General features: G+C 51.9%; 1 long non-coding RNA gene and 1 other non-coding gene across 2 annotated transcripts, besides 1 other annotated feature; both read right to left on the reverse strand.

The window, feature by feature from the left end:
• Window positions 1-4,593: 4,593 nt before the first annotated feature.
• Window positions 4,594-17,260, reverse strand: LOC101928095 (uncharacterized). Its single transcript, NR_168401.1, has 3 exons — window positions 16,925-17,260; window positions 10,785-11,025; window positions 4,594-4,922 (listed from the first exon to the last, which is right to left on the reverse strand). It is a non-coding gene; the product is annotated as an uncharacterized LOC101928095 (long non-coding RNA).
• LOC124901876 (uncharacterized) lies at window positions 5,294-10,284 on the reverse strand. The gene is made up of 4 exons (XR_007060792.1): window positions 9,625-10,284; window positions 8,230-8,407; window positions 7,198-7,739; window positions 5,294-6,344 (listed from the first exon to the last, which is right to left on the reverse strand). It is a non-coding gene; the product is annotated as an uncharacterized LOC124901876 (transcript).
• Window positions 10,183-10,929: an enhancer, noted in NCBI's record as "H3K4me1 hESC enhancer chr8:7078633-7079379 (GRCh37/hg19 assembly coordinates)". NCBI's record gives its function as "activates a minimal SCP1, AML or CMV promoter by ChIP-STARR-seq in naive H9 embryonic stem cells {active_cell/tissue: H9 hESC(naive)}" and the evidence as "EXISTENCE:reporter gene assay evidence [ECO:0000049][PMID:30033119]".
• Window positions 17,261-17,582: the final 322 nt, after the last annotated feature.

Here is a 17,582-nt window from a genome sequence, read left to right on the forward strand (position 1 = left end):
GTCAGAATAACTGCTGGGAGAAGAAGGTGGTACCCAGGTTCCAACGTGAGACAATGTCAAAGACATGCTGCCTGAAAAGCAGGCTTTCCAAAGAATAAATATAGCATTATTTCATTTTTACTTTTTTAAAAATATTACAATAAACACTTATGTGCAAATACATGTGCTTGTGTGCACAGAGGAAAAAGCTGTGGACAGAAACAGAAAACCAAACACGGTGTGCTCTCACTCATAAGTGGGAGTTGAACAATGAGAACACATGGACACAGGGAGGGGAACATCACACACCGGGGCCCATCGGGGGTGGGGGACAAGGCGAGGGAGAGCGTTAGGACAAATACCTAATGCATGTGGGGCTTAAAACCTAGTTGACGGGTTGATAGATGCAGCAAACCACCATGGCACATGTATATCTATGTAACAAACCTGCACATTCTGCACATGTATCTCAGAACGTAGAATAAAAAATAAAAAGAAATCAAAGAAAAAGGTGGGGAGAGGTATAACCCAACCCTTCCCAGTGTTACCTCTGAGATGCAAGATCAAGAAAAGCAAATCAAGAGGTAGTTTTGCTTTCTGTTTTCTATATAAATTTTTTTTTTTTTTTTTTTTTTTTCTGGAGACATAGTCTCGCTCTATTGCCCAGTCTGGAGTCCAGGGACACAATCTCGGCTCACTGCAACCTCCTCCTCACCACAACCTCCTCCTCACTACAACCTCCTCCTCAGTGCAACCTCCTCCTCACTGCGACCTCCTCCTCACTGCGACCTCCTCCTCACTGCGACCTCCTCCTCACTGCGACCTCCTCCTCACTGCGACCTCCTCCTCACTGCAACCTCCTCCTCACTGCAACCTGCTCCTCACTACAACCTCCTCCTCACTGCAACCTCCTCCTTACTGCGACCTCCTCCTCACTGCAACCTCCTCCTTACTGCGACCTCCTCCTCACTGCGACCTCCTCCTCACTGCAACCTGCTCTTCACTACAACCTCCTCCTCACTGCAACCTCCTCCTCATTGCAACCTGCTCCTCACTGCAACCTGCTCCTTCTGGGTTCAAGGGATTCTCTTGCCTCAGCCTCCCAAATAACTAGGATTACAGGCATGCACCACCAAGCCCGACTAACTTTTGTATTTTTTGTAGATACAGGGTTTCACTATTTTGGCCACCTGGTCTCAAACTCCTGGCCTGCCCACCTTAGCCTCCAAAAGTCCTGGGATTACAGGTGTGAGCCACCACGCCTGGCCTGCATTGCTTGAATTCTCAGACCACATGGACCCTCTCATCTGGTCCAATTGCAAGAGTCCAAGGCAGGAAAGGCAGAAGGCAGGGGCTTACCCCTCCATCAGGACAACATAGAACAGAGTCAAAAAAGGAAAACATGAATGGATCAGTCAAGAGGGCCGTGCACATGCCCTCCCAGGCACCTACATCTTGCAACTTAAGCCGACAGCCTTTCAAGCCACAGAGTCTTCCTCCCCAGAGACTAGCAAGGACACAAGCCCTGGCCAGGCCCTTCCAGGAAGATGTTCTGAGGGACAAGGTGGGGGGCACAGTCAGGGGTGGCAGGAGGAAAGGGGGACACGAAGCCAAGGAAACCAGGGCACCCCATGCTTCCTGAAGGCAACTAGAACAGGGCGCCACACAGAGCCCCTGTGTACCTGTTTCTACAACAGCCTGAATACAAGGAAAAGGAAAACAAGGAAAATACACAAAGCCCAGCCTCACCAGGAGCAGGTTAAATAAAGGTGTGTGAATTTTCCTCATGTCCTTTGGAATTGGAAATCCAAGCTTCCTCTTCTGTGCCTTTAAGGTCCTGGCCGCTGCCGCACAGCTCCCTTCTCTTCCCTCCTCCTCCTGTCCTATTTTTTTTTTTTTTTTTTTTTTTTGAGATGGAATCTTGCTCTGTTGCCCAGGCTGGAGTACAGTGGCACAATCTCAGCTCACTACAACCTCCACCTTCCGGGTTCAAGCAATTCTCGTGGCTCAGCTTCCCGAGTAGCTGGGATTATAGGTGTCACCATGTCTGGCTAATTATTGTATTTTTAGTAGAGACAGGTTTTCACCATATTGGCCAGTCTGGTCTCAAACTCCTGGCCTCAGGTGATCCGCCCACCTCGGCCTCCCAAAGTGCTGGGATTACAGATGTGAGCCACCATGCCCGACCCTCTTGTACTAACTCTGCCATCTCTTTGCAGTCTCCCCTGAGCAGCTTTTCCTGGGCCCGCACTGCCCCCCTCCAGAGCTGCACTCTCAAACCACGCCCCAATGCCCCCTGGCCCTGGCTCCTGCCCCGGGGCTCTGATCCTCAGCTGGTGAGGTCTAGAGTGTCAGAGGGAGCCAGACTCCTTAGAGAAGCTAAGGCGGGAGACCTGTGCTGGGCTGTGGTTAAACTGCTCCCTTCCAGCTGGGGCCGAATAGAAAGTGAAAGACTGCCCCCAGAATACAGGGCCCTCAGAGGCCCTGGGGATCTGTGCTGGCAGTCAGGAGGACTGTCACCTCAGTGCAGTTGCCTGCAAGGAGGGCTGTGCAGGAAGCTGCATGTTGCTCAGAGAACAAAAAAAGGAAATTAAATGCACCATCTCCTTATTAGCATGAGCTTTTGAGGCAGACACTTAAATATGCATGCCTAGACATTGTAAAACTTGGGGGAAATGTTAATTTCAATAACGCCACTTCTTGTGCTTGCAGAAACCATTCTTTTATCTCCCTTCCTAGTCATTTGTGGGCTCCATCCCTCAGAGTGGCAGCGCCAAGACAGCCGGCCTCACTGGGTTTTCTAAGCTGTGCAAGGTGAGATCCCAAGCCCTGGCCTCGAGACCCATCTTAGGAAAATGTTAGAACAGGGCAACAAGTTGCCATTTCCTCCCTCCTTTCTCTTCCCCATACAAAAATCAGAAAGCACCCTTGCCCAGTGCCCAGCCACAGTGAGGAAGAAACCCCACACAAAATCCTGGGTTGTGCCCCTGATACCAAAGACCTGCAAAATTGGGCCTCACCTGCTGCAACCTCAGCCCAGACTTGTGTACATTTCAAGGGTGGCTGGACTCATGGCCGCCTGGGACGTCAGAGTGGTACGAAGTCCTCTTAACCTAAGACTGTCGGGGTACAAGGATCAGCATTTTTTTCCTTTCTCTCCAGGGCCAGATGGTAAATAGTTCATCTTTGCAGGCCATAGGTCTCTGTCCCAACTATTCAACTCTCCACTCTCCATTGTAGCAGGAAAGCAGCCACAGACAATAGGCACTGAAATGGGTGTGGCTGTGTTCCAATAAAACTTTATTTGTGTGAACAGGCAGGGGGCTGGTTCTGGCCTGTGGGCTATAGCCTGCCTCCTCTGCTACAGGGTGATCTCCAAGGACCCATCCATCTTGTAGACCAGCAGCTGGCACACAGGAGCTGCTCAGATACTTGAAGGAGGAATGGAGAAGGCAAACAGCCCCCAGTGTGCAGATGTGAGGGTCTCCCAGCGGCACCATCCTTTGCCATCTCATGCCAAGGGACAAAGCCAGAGCAGGGCTCTCCACCAAGGCTGGGTTCTCCTCCAAGGAAATGTGATAACAGGACAGAAAGCATCGTGGAAGGATAGGGGCTTTGGAGTCCCACAAACCACAGTTTGCAAGACCAGGAGCATCCTGCACTTCCTTGCACACATCCTGGGTGGGTACTGGAGCATCTAGACTTAGAGTGAATCTTCTCCCCATCCTCCCCCAACTGGCCTCCATTAAACTTCCAGCAACAATGTGGTGTATGTACACAATGGAATACTATTCAGTCTTCAAAAAGAAGGAAATCCTGCCATTTGAGACAACATGGATGAGCCTGGAGGATATTATGTTAAGTGAAATAAGCCAGGCACAGAACGACAAATACCACATGATCTCACTTACATGTGGAATCTAAAAAAGTTGAACTCGGCCAGGCATGGTGGCTCACGCCTGTAATCCCAGCACTTTGGGAGGCTGAGACCAGAGGATTGCTTGAGCCCAGGAGTTCGAGACCAGCCTGCATAACATAGCAATACCCCATCTCTACAAAAAATACAAAAATTAGTGGAGCATGGTAGTGCATGCCTGTACTCCCAGATACTCAGGAGGCTGAGGTGGAAGGATTGATTGAACTTGGGACCTCAAGGCTGCAGTGAGCCATGATCACAACCCTGCACTACAGCCTGGGCAATAGAAGGAGATTTTCTCCAAAAAAAAGGAAAAAAAAAAAAAGAGAAGAAAAAAGTTGAATTCACAGAAGCAGAGTAGAATGATGGTTGCCAGGGTGGGGAAGTGGGCAGATGCCAAAGGACACAGAATGTCATTTTTAGAGAAGAATAAGTTCAGGAGATCCATGGGACAACAAGGTACCTATAGTTAATAACAACATATCATATACTTGGAAATCACTAAGAGAGTAGATTGTTTAAGTGTTCTCACCCCAAAAAGTAAGTCTGGGAGGTGATATGTTATTTACCTTGATTTAGCCATTTCATAATGTATACATACCTCAATCACATCATGTTGTATACCCTCTTGTACATAATTTTTGCCAATTCAATAAATTCAACAACTCCAAAAAACAAGACATTCTCTTTACAAAAATAATTGTTAAAAATAAAATTCAGAATTCTATTTTATTTATTTATTTATTTTTGAAACAGAGTCTCGCTCTGTCACCCAGGCTGGCTGAAGTACAGTGGTTCCATCTCGGCTGACTGCAACCTCTGTCTCCCAGGTGCAAACGATTCTCCTGCCTCAGCCTCCCAAGTAGCTGGGATTGCAGGTGTGTGCCATCACACCTGGCTAATTTCTGTATTTTTAGTAGAGACAGTTTTGCCATGTTGACCAGGCTGGTCTCGAACTCCTGACCTTAGGTGATCCGCCAGCCTCGGCCTCCCAAAGTGCTGGGATTACAGGTGTGAACCACTGCACCTGGACAGAATATAAAAGATTGTTTAATTCAACTAAAACATTAAAACACAGATTATTTCTATAAGTGGTAATTGTTCTAACATGTTTTGGTCAAAATAGTCTCCTTACTTATCCACAATTAAATGGTTAATTGATATTTGATTGGATTTTTATAAAGTTTTCAAATCATGATTCACTTTTCCAATGTACAGTAAAATGTGTTTGAAAATATTGCATAAAAATTAATATTTAAAAATGGTCAGGCATGGTGGCTCATGCCTGTAATCCCAGCACTTTGGGAGGCCAAGGTGGGCCGATCACTTGAGGTCAGGAGTTTGAGACCAGCCTGGTCAAACCTCATCTCTACTAAGAATACAAAAGTTAGTCAGGCATGGTGGCACGCACCTGCATTCCCAGCTACTTGGGAAACTGAGGCAGGAGAATCGCTTGAACCTGGGAGGTGGGCTCCCCAGGCTTAAAGCAAAACCCCCATCTTGTCTGTCTCCACTCTCATCCCAGGCAATCGCCGTCATTTCCACAGCCTCAACCACTGTCTACCTGGGATGCATCCCAAGCCCGGGTCGCCAGCCCAAACCTGCCTTCCTAGCCCCAGACCCATCTGTCCTGGCACACATTGCCCCCTGGGTCCCCAGCAACCTCAGCCAATGAGACCAATGCCAACTTCCTGTCCTTGCCTGACACTGTCAGCCCTGAGATCAGACTTGACCATTCACCTCCAGTACCTGATAGGTCCATCAGTCCTTTGGAACATATCCCACGAAAATTCCCCAAACCAGGCACCGGACTCCACACATCAACACCGTCACGTGAGTCACCAGCATCCCTGGCAGGGACCCCTGTCCCAGCCTCCAACTCATCTCCTTCCTGTCCCTTGAGTTCTGTGTCACATTCCAGAGGCCACAAGAAGAAAAATGACCACCTTAATGAAATTAAAAGAATTGAGAAGACATTTCTCTATGGTCCAAAATCTTTCCAACTGAGAAACACATATCAAGATCCAGCCTGCTGGCCCTGTGGTTAAATGTTCCTGAAATAATTAAAGCCCAGGGCAACACAGCCCCCACTCCACAAGTACTCCCAGCACAGTAAGACTTGCTTCTCTACAGGGGCTTGAAATGTCCAGTGTGTACCCTGCCCCTCTCTGTCGTAGCTAACAGGAATGTGCTCCGTGTCTTCTTCCTGCTCAAAGGACCGTCCACCAACCTGCGCAGGCAGCACTTTCGGCAAGGGGAGGATGGGAGAACATCCTACCATTTCCCACTTACTCACTGCATTCATCAGGAGCCTGCCTCACAAATTACAAGAGCGCCACGGCAGACCCACGACGTTCCAGCGGGTGGCCATGTCTTCATGTCAACTTGAAAGATCATCGCCAGGGAAATATCTATATCTCGGCAGAGAACTTCAGCCTGTGTAGTCCAGCTGTGCTCAAATGGAAATCCAAAAACCCAGATGTTGGTCAAAACACCCTGTCTCAGGGAGCTGGCTCTGCAGGTCCCCAGTGTGAGAGTGAACTGGGTGGGCCACCTGACCTGTCTACCCACATCCCGGCCTCCTGGAATCCTGGACCCTGAGAACCAGGGGGATGTGGTGGGGAGCAGGCAAGTCTTGTGCAGAAAGCCAAGATGCCACCCAAATCCACTCTGCAGTCTAGGAGGGCGATATTCTGGTCTGCACCACACCAGTGCACGAGAGGATGGAGGATGGAGTCTAGACAAGCCAAATGTAAAAATATATTGTCCAAGTATTTTGTGCTTTGTCTGTGTTACAATGCGATGACAAGCCCAGTGTGCTGGCTCACACCTGTGATCTCAGCAACTTGGGAGGCCGAGGCAGGCGGATCACCTGAGGTCAGAAGTTTGAGATCAGCCTGCCCAACATGGTGAAACCCCATCTCTACTAAAAATACAAAAATTAGCCAGGTGTGGTGGTGGGCACCTGTAATCCCAGCTACTCTGGAGGCTGAGGCAGGAGAATCACTTGAGCCCAGGACGTGGAGGTTGCAGTGAGCAGAGATCATGTCACTGTACTCCAGCCTGGGCAACAGAGTAAGACTCTGTCTTAAAAAAAAATTAAATAAATAAAGGCTATGCCCAGTATTTTCCATGTACTGTCTTATTATCTCAGTAAATCCCATATAACCTTCCTATGAAAGTGTATCTCATTTATCTCCATTTTATAGATGAGAAAACTGAGGCCCCTGGAGTAGTATTAATTTTCCAAGACAGCATTGCTCATAAAGGGTACAGCAGGGACCCAAGCTCGACACTCTCACCCTCAAACATTTCCACAAGTGTAGACCAATGGCTCTCAACTGTGGTGGTTTTGCTCACGTACCACTCCCTTGCCCCACAGCATTGAAACCATCTGCAGACATCTGGGGTAGCCATAGCTGGGAGGGTAGAATGGCACCTAGAGGATGGAGACCACAGATGCTGCTAACCGTCCTACAATACACAGGATGCCCCCCCACCACCACCACGAATGGTCTCACCCCAAATGTTGTGACTGTGCCAAAGCTGAGAAATCCAGGTTTCTCCTCAGCAAGAAGGAAAATACCTGCAACGTGGATGCACCTCTACAGGAGCCTCAGGCTGACAATAACCTTCCTGATCTGGTTTCAACCCTGGATGCTTTTACCTGGTGCGTCCATCAGGGATTTCAGGGACTCCAGTGAGTTATCACCCTCGAATGCTCGGTTCTGCCTGACAACCCAGAAATCTCTGCCAAGGTGCCTGGTCTTGGGGAAGGCTCAGCAAGCAGTTGAGGTTGACAACCAAATACCTAGGAGAGACTTTTCTCTCCCTCCAGGAGGAGCTGTGGGTCAGACACACACTGGGATCATTCACAAGCGGTCAATAAAGGCTTGGGGAGGGGCAGATTTTCTAGGCCTTCTCAATGGGGTGGGTGTTTGTGGATACACAAGAAGCCTGTGAAACTTCTGATATTGGCAGGAAATCAATGCCCCCATCCTCCACCCCCACCCCCACCTCCCCACCATAAACACATGCCCTGCAGCAGGACTTGACACTCAGGGGCTCCTGGGGTCCCGATTTATCTGCTAAAACCTCCTCTAGCCACCACCGAATAAAGCAACCCCTTGCGACCCAACCACAAGAGCACTGCCTGGAAGCAACTCCAAGGGACATCCAGTCACATTAAAACCTCAGCCATCCAGAGCACCAGGCCTGGTGATGAGAAAGAACATTTTATCCTTAAAAGCATCTGAATGCCCATGCTGCTTCTTGCAGAGAAAAGTCCAAAATAATCTGTTATTAAAGAACGAGGATGGTTTTGACATTTTTACCAAGCTAGTGGTCTACGCAGACAAAATCTCATAAAAGGGCACTCTGTTCTTCTTGATCCACTCAGACATGGCCTGTGAGTGAAGAAACGGGCTCTCCTCCTCAAAGAAATCACTGCTGATCCTCGTACCAGCCTGACACTGCTTCATGGGTTCTTCAAAGAGAGTATTCCCATAGGAACTAAAAGGGAAGAGGAATGTGTCTGGCGGGCATTGTGGGCAGCAGCGAGCTTTGGGCCAAATTTTAAGTTTGAAAATCAAGATTCCCTCTTTTCAAGGGGCTGCCGGACTGAGCAGATACAGGCACCGTGAAAAGAGGGTGCCATGTTCAGATTCAGGAAACAAGGATGGTTTCTATTCAGTTCATCCATCATCCTTCAGGTCATGCTATTCCCATTTCCCTCTGTGGACCAAAAAATTCAGCGGGGTTTCTGCCTTTTAAACATTTCATTATCAACATATCATCCTTTTAGCCTCCAGAAAGCATTTTAACATGGAGATTCTGGCTTAAGACTCTTGTGGGTCTGTCTGTCTCTCTCTCTCTTTTCCTTGAAACGGTCTCACTTTGTCACCCAGGCTGAAGTGCAGTGGCGTGATCACAGCTCACTGCAACCCAACCTTCCAGGCTCTAGCAATCCTCCCACCTCAGCCTCCCAAGTACTTGGGACTGCAGGCACACACCACCATAACTGCCTTTTTTTTTTTTTTTTTTTTTTTTTGGTAGATATGAGGCTTCACCATGTTGCCCAGGCTGGTCTTAAACTCCTGGGCTCAAGTGATCCCCCCCTTTCGGCCTCTCAAAGTGCTGGGATTATTGGCTTCAGCCACCATGCCCAGCCAAGGACCTTGTCTCTTGTGAAGTACTCCAGAACAAAACATCACTGCAAAAACACATCAGGGCATGAGTTTTAGTCTTAAGTCCCACTTATCCACCATACACTATGTGCCAGGCACAACGCTAAGTGCTTCTATGGACGAGCTTCCCTTAATCTCAGCAGCAACAACCCCAGGCAATGGAGCCTGTTGACAGATCCATTTGCCACTGAAGACAGTAAGGCTCAGACAGGGTAAGTGGCTTGTGCCATGTCAGCCAGCTAAGGAGGGGCAGAACCAGAATGCAAACCCCAGCCACCTGGCTCCAGAATCGCGTTCCCAAGGTCTCACTACACTTGGTCACTCCACCGCATTCTGGTATCCTGGTCTTTGGCAGAGTCCACGTAAAAGAGGGAGGTAGAGGGAGTGAGAGGGACTTCATGCAATAAAGTTTCCCGGCGTTACACTGCCACCATAATTGTGTCCCCGACCAGGACCTCTCCCTTCTCATCCTTTCCGTGATCGGCCCTGGAAAACCTTCCAAAGAACTGTCCTCCTTCTCCCGGGATCTCAGAGAAAATTCACCTGAGTTCAGTGTCCAGGTGACCCAAGCTCTGAATGCGGTAACGTGGATGGGGAGAAGAGGATGTCACCATGAGCAAGCCTCCCAGACAGCATCCAGGAGCAACCCCAAGACTGGGCGGGGGGGCTCTGATGCCGCCCACGGCGAGGAGGGCTGCCCATGCTGCCTAAATGGGTTCAGAATGAAGACCGCCCTCTCTCCCATGTGGGGCTCATTAACCATGAATCCAATTATTAAGACAAGCTCAGCTGAGCAAATGGTCAAACATAAAAACATGTGGAAGGAACAAAGAGGTCAACCCCATTATCCATTAAAAACCATCAAGGTGGCGGCCCTCACTGAGGGGTACAGTTCTCCAGCTGGCCCTCATCTGCCCTCCAAACCCACATGCCTCCCCAGTGGAAGGCCAGCAAAGCCACACAGGAAGAGTTGGGGTAGGAAAGCAGAAAGTGAACCCCAGGAGGCCAGCCTGGCTACGCAGCCCCATCCCACACACACTGGCCCGGTGATTCAGGGGCCAACGTTTGCAGGACACCGGGAGCTCACAGGGACAGCGCCCCGGGGATGCAAGGAACTTTGCCTCTCTGTCCCTCTCTGTAGGGATGGAAAGAGGAGAGCGATTTCTGGGATGGAAGCCATCTGCCTCCTCTCAACTCTTGCTGCCCAACCAGAAAGGGAAGAAGAACAGGAAGATGCGGGACAGGTGAGGAGCTGGGTGAGCGCCGCCAGCCCGCAGTCCAGCCGAGCAGGGCTTGGCCAAGCCTGGCGCCAGGGACTTCCCCCCTACCCCCACCACTGGCCCCTCGCCAGGTGAGAGGCACCGACAGGGTCCCAGACAGATGCCCCAGACAGGATGCCCAGCGCAACACCCGCCACTTCCCCTGCTAGGGGCCCCCAGGACGCGGGGCTGCCCCTCTCTTTTTGGCCAGCCGCAGAGTCCAGTGGGTCTCCCAGCCAGGGACGTCGTGGGAGAATCAGGAAGTCAAAGCCACACAGCCGAGAAGCGGCAGCTGGCATCTCGGAGGCCGTCACGCGCTGTCACTCCGCGCCCTTCGGAGTTGCAGCTAAAATACCAACTTCAACCCGGGGCCGGCCACGGAGCCTCCCGCCGCCCCTACCGGCGCCCCCGGCACCCCCGGACCCCAGCGCCCGCGTCACTTACTCCTCTGCGGTCGCCACCTGTCTGGGTGCCGGTCTCCTCCCTGCCTGGCCGCGGCGCGTCCTCCCCGTTCTCGCAGTCCTCGGGCTGTGCGCTTCCCCTCTCCAGCTACAGCCGCAGCCTCTTCTCTTCCGGAGGGACGTCGTCCTCCTCCCTCCTGGGCCGGCCATCCCTGCCTCGGGGCTTGCCAGTGGCTTCGGAGCTGCCGGAAGGGCTGGCCATGGCTCGGGGGCTCTGCCTGCACCTGGAGAAGAGGAAGGATACGGCGCGAGCGGCCTCTCGGCGGAGCTGGGGCGTCTGAGCGCGGGCTCGGTGGGTCCGCGCGGCGCGGAGCTGGGTATAGGGGCCGGCGCGGGCTCCTCCGCGGGCCGCGCCTGGCTCTCTGGCGCCCTCTTCTGGCCGCTCTCGCGCACCTCCGCCACGCCGGGCCCAGGCCTGCGCAGCTCTCACATGTCCTGGCCCAGGAGGTCGCTGTCCCTTGCCCATGGACAGGCCCTCTCTGGCAATGCCCTGCACCTCCTCCCCACCCCGGCCAGGTTGGACCCCGATGGTCTCCCTGCTCAAGGAGGAGAGAAGAGAAGGGACGCCACGAGAGGGTGGACATCGGCCAAAGCCACCTTGTCTTTGCTCTTACCCTGTGTCTTCCATGATTTGGAGGTGGTGGGAAACCCGAGGCTGCTCAAAACTCGTGGAGAATTCCTCCTGCAGGATGACATGAATGCACCTTCCCATTGCCTACCAACAGATCTTTTTTGAGCATCACTGTGGACCAGTCGTGGTGATGGGGGAGGGGATATTGTGGAGAACATGACAGGCATTGCCTTCACCCAGTGAGGCTCAGCTCTGGGTGGGAAGGCATTGAGAATGGACATTGTCAACTGGGCCAAAGGAGGCCAAGGAGAAGTGCTGGGGGCATGGGAACTGAAAAAGAGAGGAGGCTCAGCACGTCTTTGAGCTGGGAGAGGGACAGCAGCAGCGGCTTTTCCAAAGGAAGCAACAGCTGAGAGAGGTCTCAGAGAGTTGTTCTCAGCCCAGTGGAGGGTGTTCAGGCAGAGGGAACAGCGTGTGCAAAAGCCCAGAGGCTGGGAAAGAAGCAGAAAGAGGACTGTGGGGCTGGAGCATGGTGGGCAAGGGGAGGAAGGTGTGGTGGGCAGACAGATTGCCTGGGACCCAGCCGTGCAGGGGCAGAGGAGATACGGGATCCTTGCAGGCCCCCAGCCGGGGCTCAGGCACAGAGACAGTGCAGGTGGGCAAAGGGAGGAGACGTGGAGAAATATTTTGGAGGCATGCCCTGATGAATGAGCCCAGGATGCACCCTTAGTGTCAGTGTGGAGCTCCTTCCTTGACTGTGTGATGAGCTGAACTCGGGGGTATTTTCTGGACATTGAGGTGCTACACCAAGAGCCCAGGACAGGCTAAGTGAGCACTAGCAGCTCCTGGCCCACCTCAAAAGCAGGAGAGACAGGGGAGACTGAGGAGGCCGGGGCGGAAGGGGAAGCCAGGAAGGTAGGAGAGGCCAGGGAAGCAGAGGAGGCCCGGGAGGCAATGGAGGCAGGAGAGGCTGGGGAGGTTATGTCCTTTCCATGATTCTGCCCTCGATCCTAGGCCCCTGAACTCCCTGAGCTTCCCCACCCCAAGCGCTGGAACCATGTTGCACAATGGTCTCCCCACTAAGCTCCTGATGGCAGCCCCTACCCTGCTGTGCTCCCTGTTTCAACCCTAACAGCTCTCACAGTGGGCAGCACATAGTAGGTGCTGAGGAAACACTGGTGGGAGAGCACGTGGGTCTGCTCAGCACCTTCCTCTCTCCTCCAGCTCTCCCCTGTCACGAAATAATTCTGATAACGACACATGGACTTTGAGACCCTCTTCTATTACTTTCCATATGCTAATCCATCTATACCTCACAGCAGCCCTGGGGGTGGGTGCAATGAGGATGCCCATTTTATAGAGGAGGAGACTGAGGTATAAAGAGGGTAAGTGACATACGCACACTACAGGGGCTGGGGTCAAGTGATCAGAGCACTCAATCCCCAAAGGCAAGGTGGATGCAGTTACCATAAAAGACAGCAGAGTCAAAGCTGCAACCAGAATAGCCTGACTCGCAGCGACCTATGGTGCCTGTTGATCCTGGCTTTCCTAGAAGTGAAATAGATAAGAAGCCTGCCACATTTTTACTGGAACTGTGTTTGCAGAAGTGTTCTAGGTCAAGTGAGCAGAAGTCTAATCTGATTAATAAAAACAGAGTCACAGTCCCCGGTCAATTTCCAGACATAAGCCAGTTCACAGACTCGGAGTCCCTTGTGTGAATGGGAAGCCAGGTCCCCTCCAGAAAGGACTCTGCTACACTGCCAAAAATTTATACTGTCAATCTTTCTCCCAGCCTGCTCCCAAGGGAATAAACAGCCTTTTGCTAGGATGACTGAACAGGAGAAAAGGAACTAATGGAACCTGTGCAGGATCACTGGACACAGGCTCTGAACTGGCACTAGGATGAGACTAGGGTCTACCAGTCAGAATAGGCATTTTGAAGGTCAGGTGAATGTTGGTGCAAGTTCATGTCACGGTAGGTCCATTGGGTCCCCAAATCCATCCTCTGGTTATATACAAAGCGGCAATGCTGAGATTCAAATTCAGGGCATCCAACATAGAGGCTGGGCTCTTATTCATGAAACATTCTGACACTAGTAACCAATTTAAAAATGTAAACACCTCCTGGGGCTAGCCAGAGTCCTCCAAACAGTCATGTAAATTGGTTCTGTCAAGGATTTCCTCCCACCCACTGCTGAGAGCCAGTTGCAAGGAGAGACTAGGGAAGGGCATTGGGTAACTTTGTTGCTAAAAGCTCTTCTGGATAAAGACATTTGGGAAAAGAAGCAAATAGAGTTCAGCAGAAGAGGTAAGAAAGTAAGTTTATGTTTGGCCAGGCACGGTGGCTCACGCCTGTAATCCCAGCACTTGGGAAGGCCCAGGCGGGCAGATCACGAGGTCAAGAGATCGGACTATCCTGGCCAACATGGTGAAGCCCCATCTCTACTAAAAATTCAAAAATTAGATGGGCATGATAGCGCACGCCTGTAGTCCCAGTTACTCGGGAGCCTGAGGCAGGAGAATCACTTGAACCCAGGAGGTGGAGGTTGCAGTGAGCGGAGATCATGCCACTGCACTCCAACCTGGGCAACAGAGTAAGACTCTGTCTTAAAAAAAAATTAAAATAAATAAATGCTATACCCAGCATTTTCCATGTACTGTCTTATTATCTCGGTGAATCCCATATAACCTTCCTATCAAAGTGTATCTCATTTATCTCCATTTTATAGATGAGAAAACTGAGGCCCCTGGAGTAGTATTAATTTTACAAGACCGCATTGCTCATAAAGGGTACAGCAGGGACCCAAGCTCGACACTCTCACCCTCAAACATTTCCACAAGTGTAGACCAATGGCTCTCAACTGGGGTGGTTTTGCTCACGTACCGCTCCCTTGCCCCACATTATTTGAAACCATCTGGAGACGTCTGGGGTAGCCATAGCAGGGAAGGTAGAATGGCACCTAGAGGATGGAGACCACAGATGCTGCTAACCATCCTTCAATACACAGGACAGCCCCACCACCAGCACCACGAATGGTCTCACCACAAATATTCTGACTGTGCCAAAGCTGAGAAACCCAGGTTTCTCCTCAGCAAAAAGGACAATCCCTGCAACGTGGATGCACCTCTACAGGAGCCCCAGGCTGACAATAACCTTCCTGATCTGGTTTCAACCCTGGATGCTTTTACCTGGTGCGTCCATCAGGGATTTCAGGGACTCCAGTGAGTTATCACCCTCGAATGCTCGGTTCTGCCTGACAACCCAGAAATCTCTGCCAAGGTGCCTGGTCTTGGGGAAGGCTCAGCAAGCAGTTGAGGTTGACAACCAAATACCTAGGAGAGACTTTTCTCTCCCTCCAGGAGGAGCTGTGGGTCAGACACACACTGGGATCATTCACAAGCGGTCAATAAAGGCTTGAGGAGGGGCAGATTTTCTAGGCCTTCTCAATGGGGTGGGTGTTTGTGGATAAACAAGAAGCCTGTGAAACTTCTGATATTGGGAGGAAATCAATGCCCCCATCCTCCCCCCTCCCCCACCTCCCCACCATAAACACATGCCCTGCAGCAGGACTTGACACTCAAGGGCTCCTGGGGTCCCGATTAATCTGCTAAAACATCCTCTAGCCACCACCGAATAAAGCAACCGCTTGCCACCCAACCACAAGAGCACAGCCTGGGAGCCACTCCAAGGGACATCCAGTCACATTAAAACCTCAGCCATCCAGAGCACCAGGCCTGGTGATGAGAAAGAACATTTTATCCTTAAAAGCATCTGAATGCCCATGCTGCTTCTTGCAGAGAAAAGTCCAAAATAATCTGTTATTAAAGAACGAGGATGGTTTTGACATTTTTACCAAGCTAGTGGTCTACGCAGACAAAATCTCATAAAAGGGCACTCTGTTCTTCTTGATCCACTCAGACATGGCCTGTGAGTGAAGAAACGGGCTCTCCTCCTCAAAGAAATCACTGCTGATCCTCGTACCAGCCTGACACTGCTTCATGGGTTCTTCAAAGAGAGTATTCCCATAGGAACTAAAAGGGAAGAGGAATGTGTCTGGCGGGCATTGTGGGCAGCAGCAAGCTTTGGGCCAAATTTTAAGTTTGAAAATCAAGATTCCCTCTTTTCAAGGGGCTGCCGGACTGAGCAGATACAGGCACCGTGAAAAGAGGGTGCCATGTTCAGATTCAGGAAACAAGGATGGTTTCTATTCAGTTCATCCATCATCCTTCAGGTCATGCTATTCCCATTTCCCTCTGTGGACCAAAAAATTCAGCGGGGTTTCTGCCTTTTAAACATTTCATTATCAACATATCATCCTTTTAGCCTCCAGAAAGCATTTTAACATGGAGATTCTGGCTTAAGACTCTTGTGGGTCTGTCTGTCTCTCTCTCTCTTTTCCTTGAAACGGTCTCACTTTGTCACCCAGGCTGAAGTGCAGTGGCGTGATCACAGCTCACTGCAACCCAACCTTCCAGGCTCTAGCAATCCTCCCACCTCAGCCTCCCAAGTACTTGGGACTGCAGGCACACACCACCATAACTGCCTTTTTTTTTTTTTTTTTTTTTTTTTTGGTAGATATGAGGCTTCACCATGTTGCCCAGGCTGGTCTTAAACTCCTGGGCTCAAGCGATCCTCCCCCTTCGGCCTCTCAAAGTGCTGGGATTATTGGCTTCAGCCACCATGCCCAGCCAAGGACCTTGTCTCTTGTGAAGTACTCCAGAACAAAACATCACTGCAAAAACACATCAGGGCATGAGTTTTAGTCTTAAGTCCCACTTATCCACCATACACTATGTGCCAGGCACAACGCTAAGTGCTTCTATGGACGAGCTTCCCTTAATCTCAGCAGCAACAACCCCAGGCAATGGAGCCTGTTGACAGATCCATTTGCCACTGAAGACAGTAAGGCTCAGACAGGGTAAGTGGCTTGTGCCATGTCAGCCAGCTAAGGAAGGGCAGAACCAGGATGCAAACCCCAGCCGCCTGGCTCCAGAATCGCATTCCCAAGGTCTCACTACACTTGGCCTCTCCACCGCATTCTGGTATCCTGGTCTTTGGCAGAGTCCACGTAAAAGAGGGAGGTAGAGGGAGTGAGAGGGACTTCATGCAATAAAGTTTCCCGGCGTTACACTGCCACCATAATTGTGTCCCCGACCAGGACCTCTCCCTTCTCATCCTTTCCGTGATCGGCCCTGGAAAACCTTCCAAAGAACTGTCCTCCTTCTCCCGGGATCTCAGAGAAAATTCACCTGAGTTCAGTGTCCAGGTGACCCAAGCTCTGAATGCGGTAACGTGGACGGGGAGATGAGGATGTCACCATGAGCAAGCCTCCCAGACAGCATCCAGGAGCAACCCCAAGACTGGGCGGGGGGGCTCTGATCCTGCCCATGGCGAGGAGGGCTGCCCATGCTGCCTAAATGGGTTCAGAATGAAGGCTGCACTCCCAACTTCAACCCGGGGACGGCCACGGAGCCTCCCGACGTCCCTTCGTCGCGTCCCCGGCACCCCCGCGCCCCTGGCACTCCCGGACCCCCGCGCCCGCGTCACTTACTCCTTTGCCGTCGCCACCTGTCTGGGTGCCGGTCTCCTTCGTGCCCGGCAGCGGCGGGTCCTCCCTGTCCTCGCAGTCCTCGGGCTGTGCGCTTCCCCCCTCCAGCTACAGCCCCAGCCTCTTCTCTTCGGGAGGGACGTCCTCCTCCTCCTCCCTTCTGGGCCGGCCATCCCTGCCTCGGGGCTTGCCAGTGTCTTCGGAGCTGCTGGAAGGGCTGGCCATGGCTCCGGGGGCTCTGCCTGAACTTGGGGAAGAGGAAGGACACGGCGCGAGCGGCCTCTCGGCGGAGCTGGGGCGTCTGAGCGCGGGCTCGGTGGGTCCGCGTGGCGCGGAGCTGGGTATCGGGGCCGGTGCGGGCTCCTCCGCGGGCGGCTCCTGGCACTCTGGCGCCCTCTTCTGGCCGCTCTCGCGCACCTCCGCCACGCCGGGCCCAGGCCTGCGCAGCTGTCACATGTCCTGGCCCAGGAGGTCGCTATCCCTTGCCCATGGACAGGCCCGCTCTGGCAATGCCCTGCACCTCCTCCCCGCCCCGGCCAGGTTGCACCCCGATGGTCTCCCTGCTCAAGGAGGAGAGAAGAGAAGGGACGCCACGAGAGGGTGGACATCGGCCAAAGCCACCTTGTCTTTGCTCTTACCCTGTGTCTTCCATGATTTGGAG

Source organism: Homo sapiens, chromosome 8, assembly GCF_000001405.40.
Source record: "Homo sapiens chromosome 8, GRCh38.p14 Primary Assembly".
In the NCBI taxonomy this organism is placed as follows: domain Eukaryota; kingdom Metazoa; phylum Chordata; class Mammalia; order Primates; family Hominidae; genus Homo; species Homo sapiens.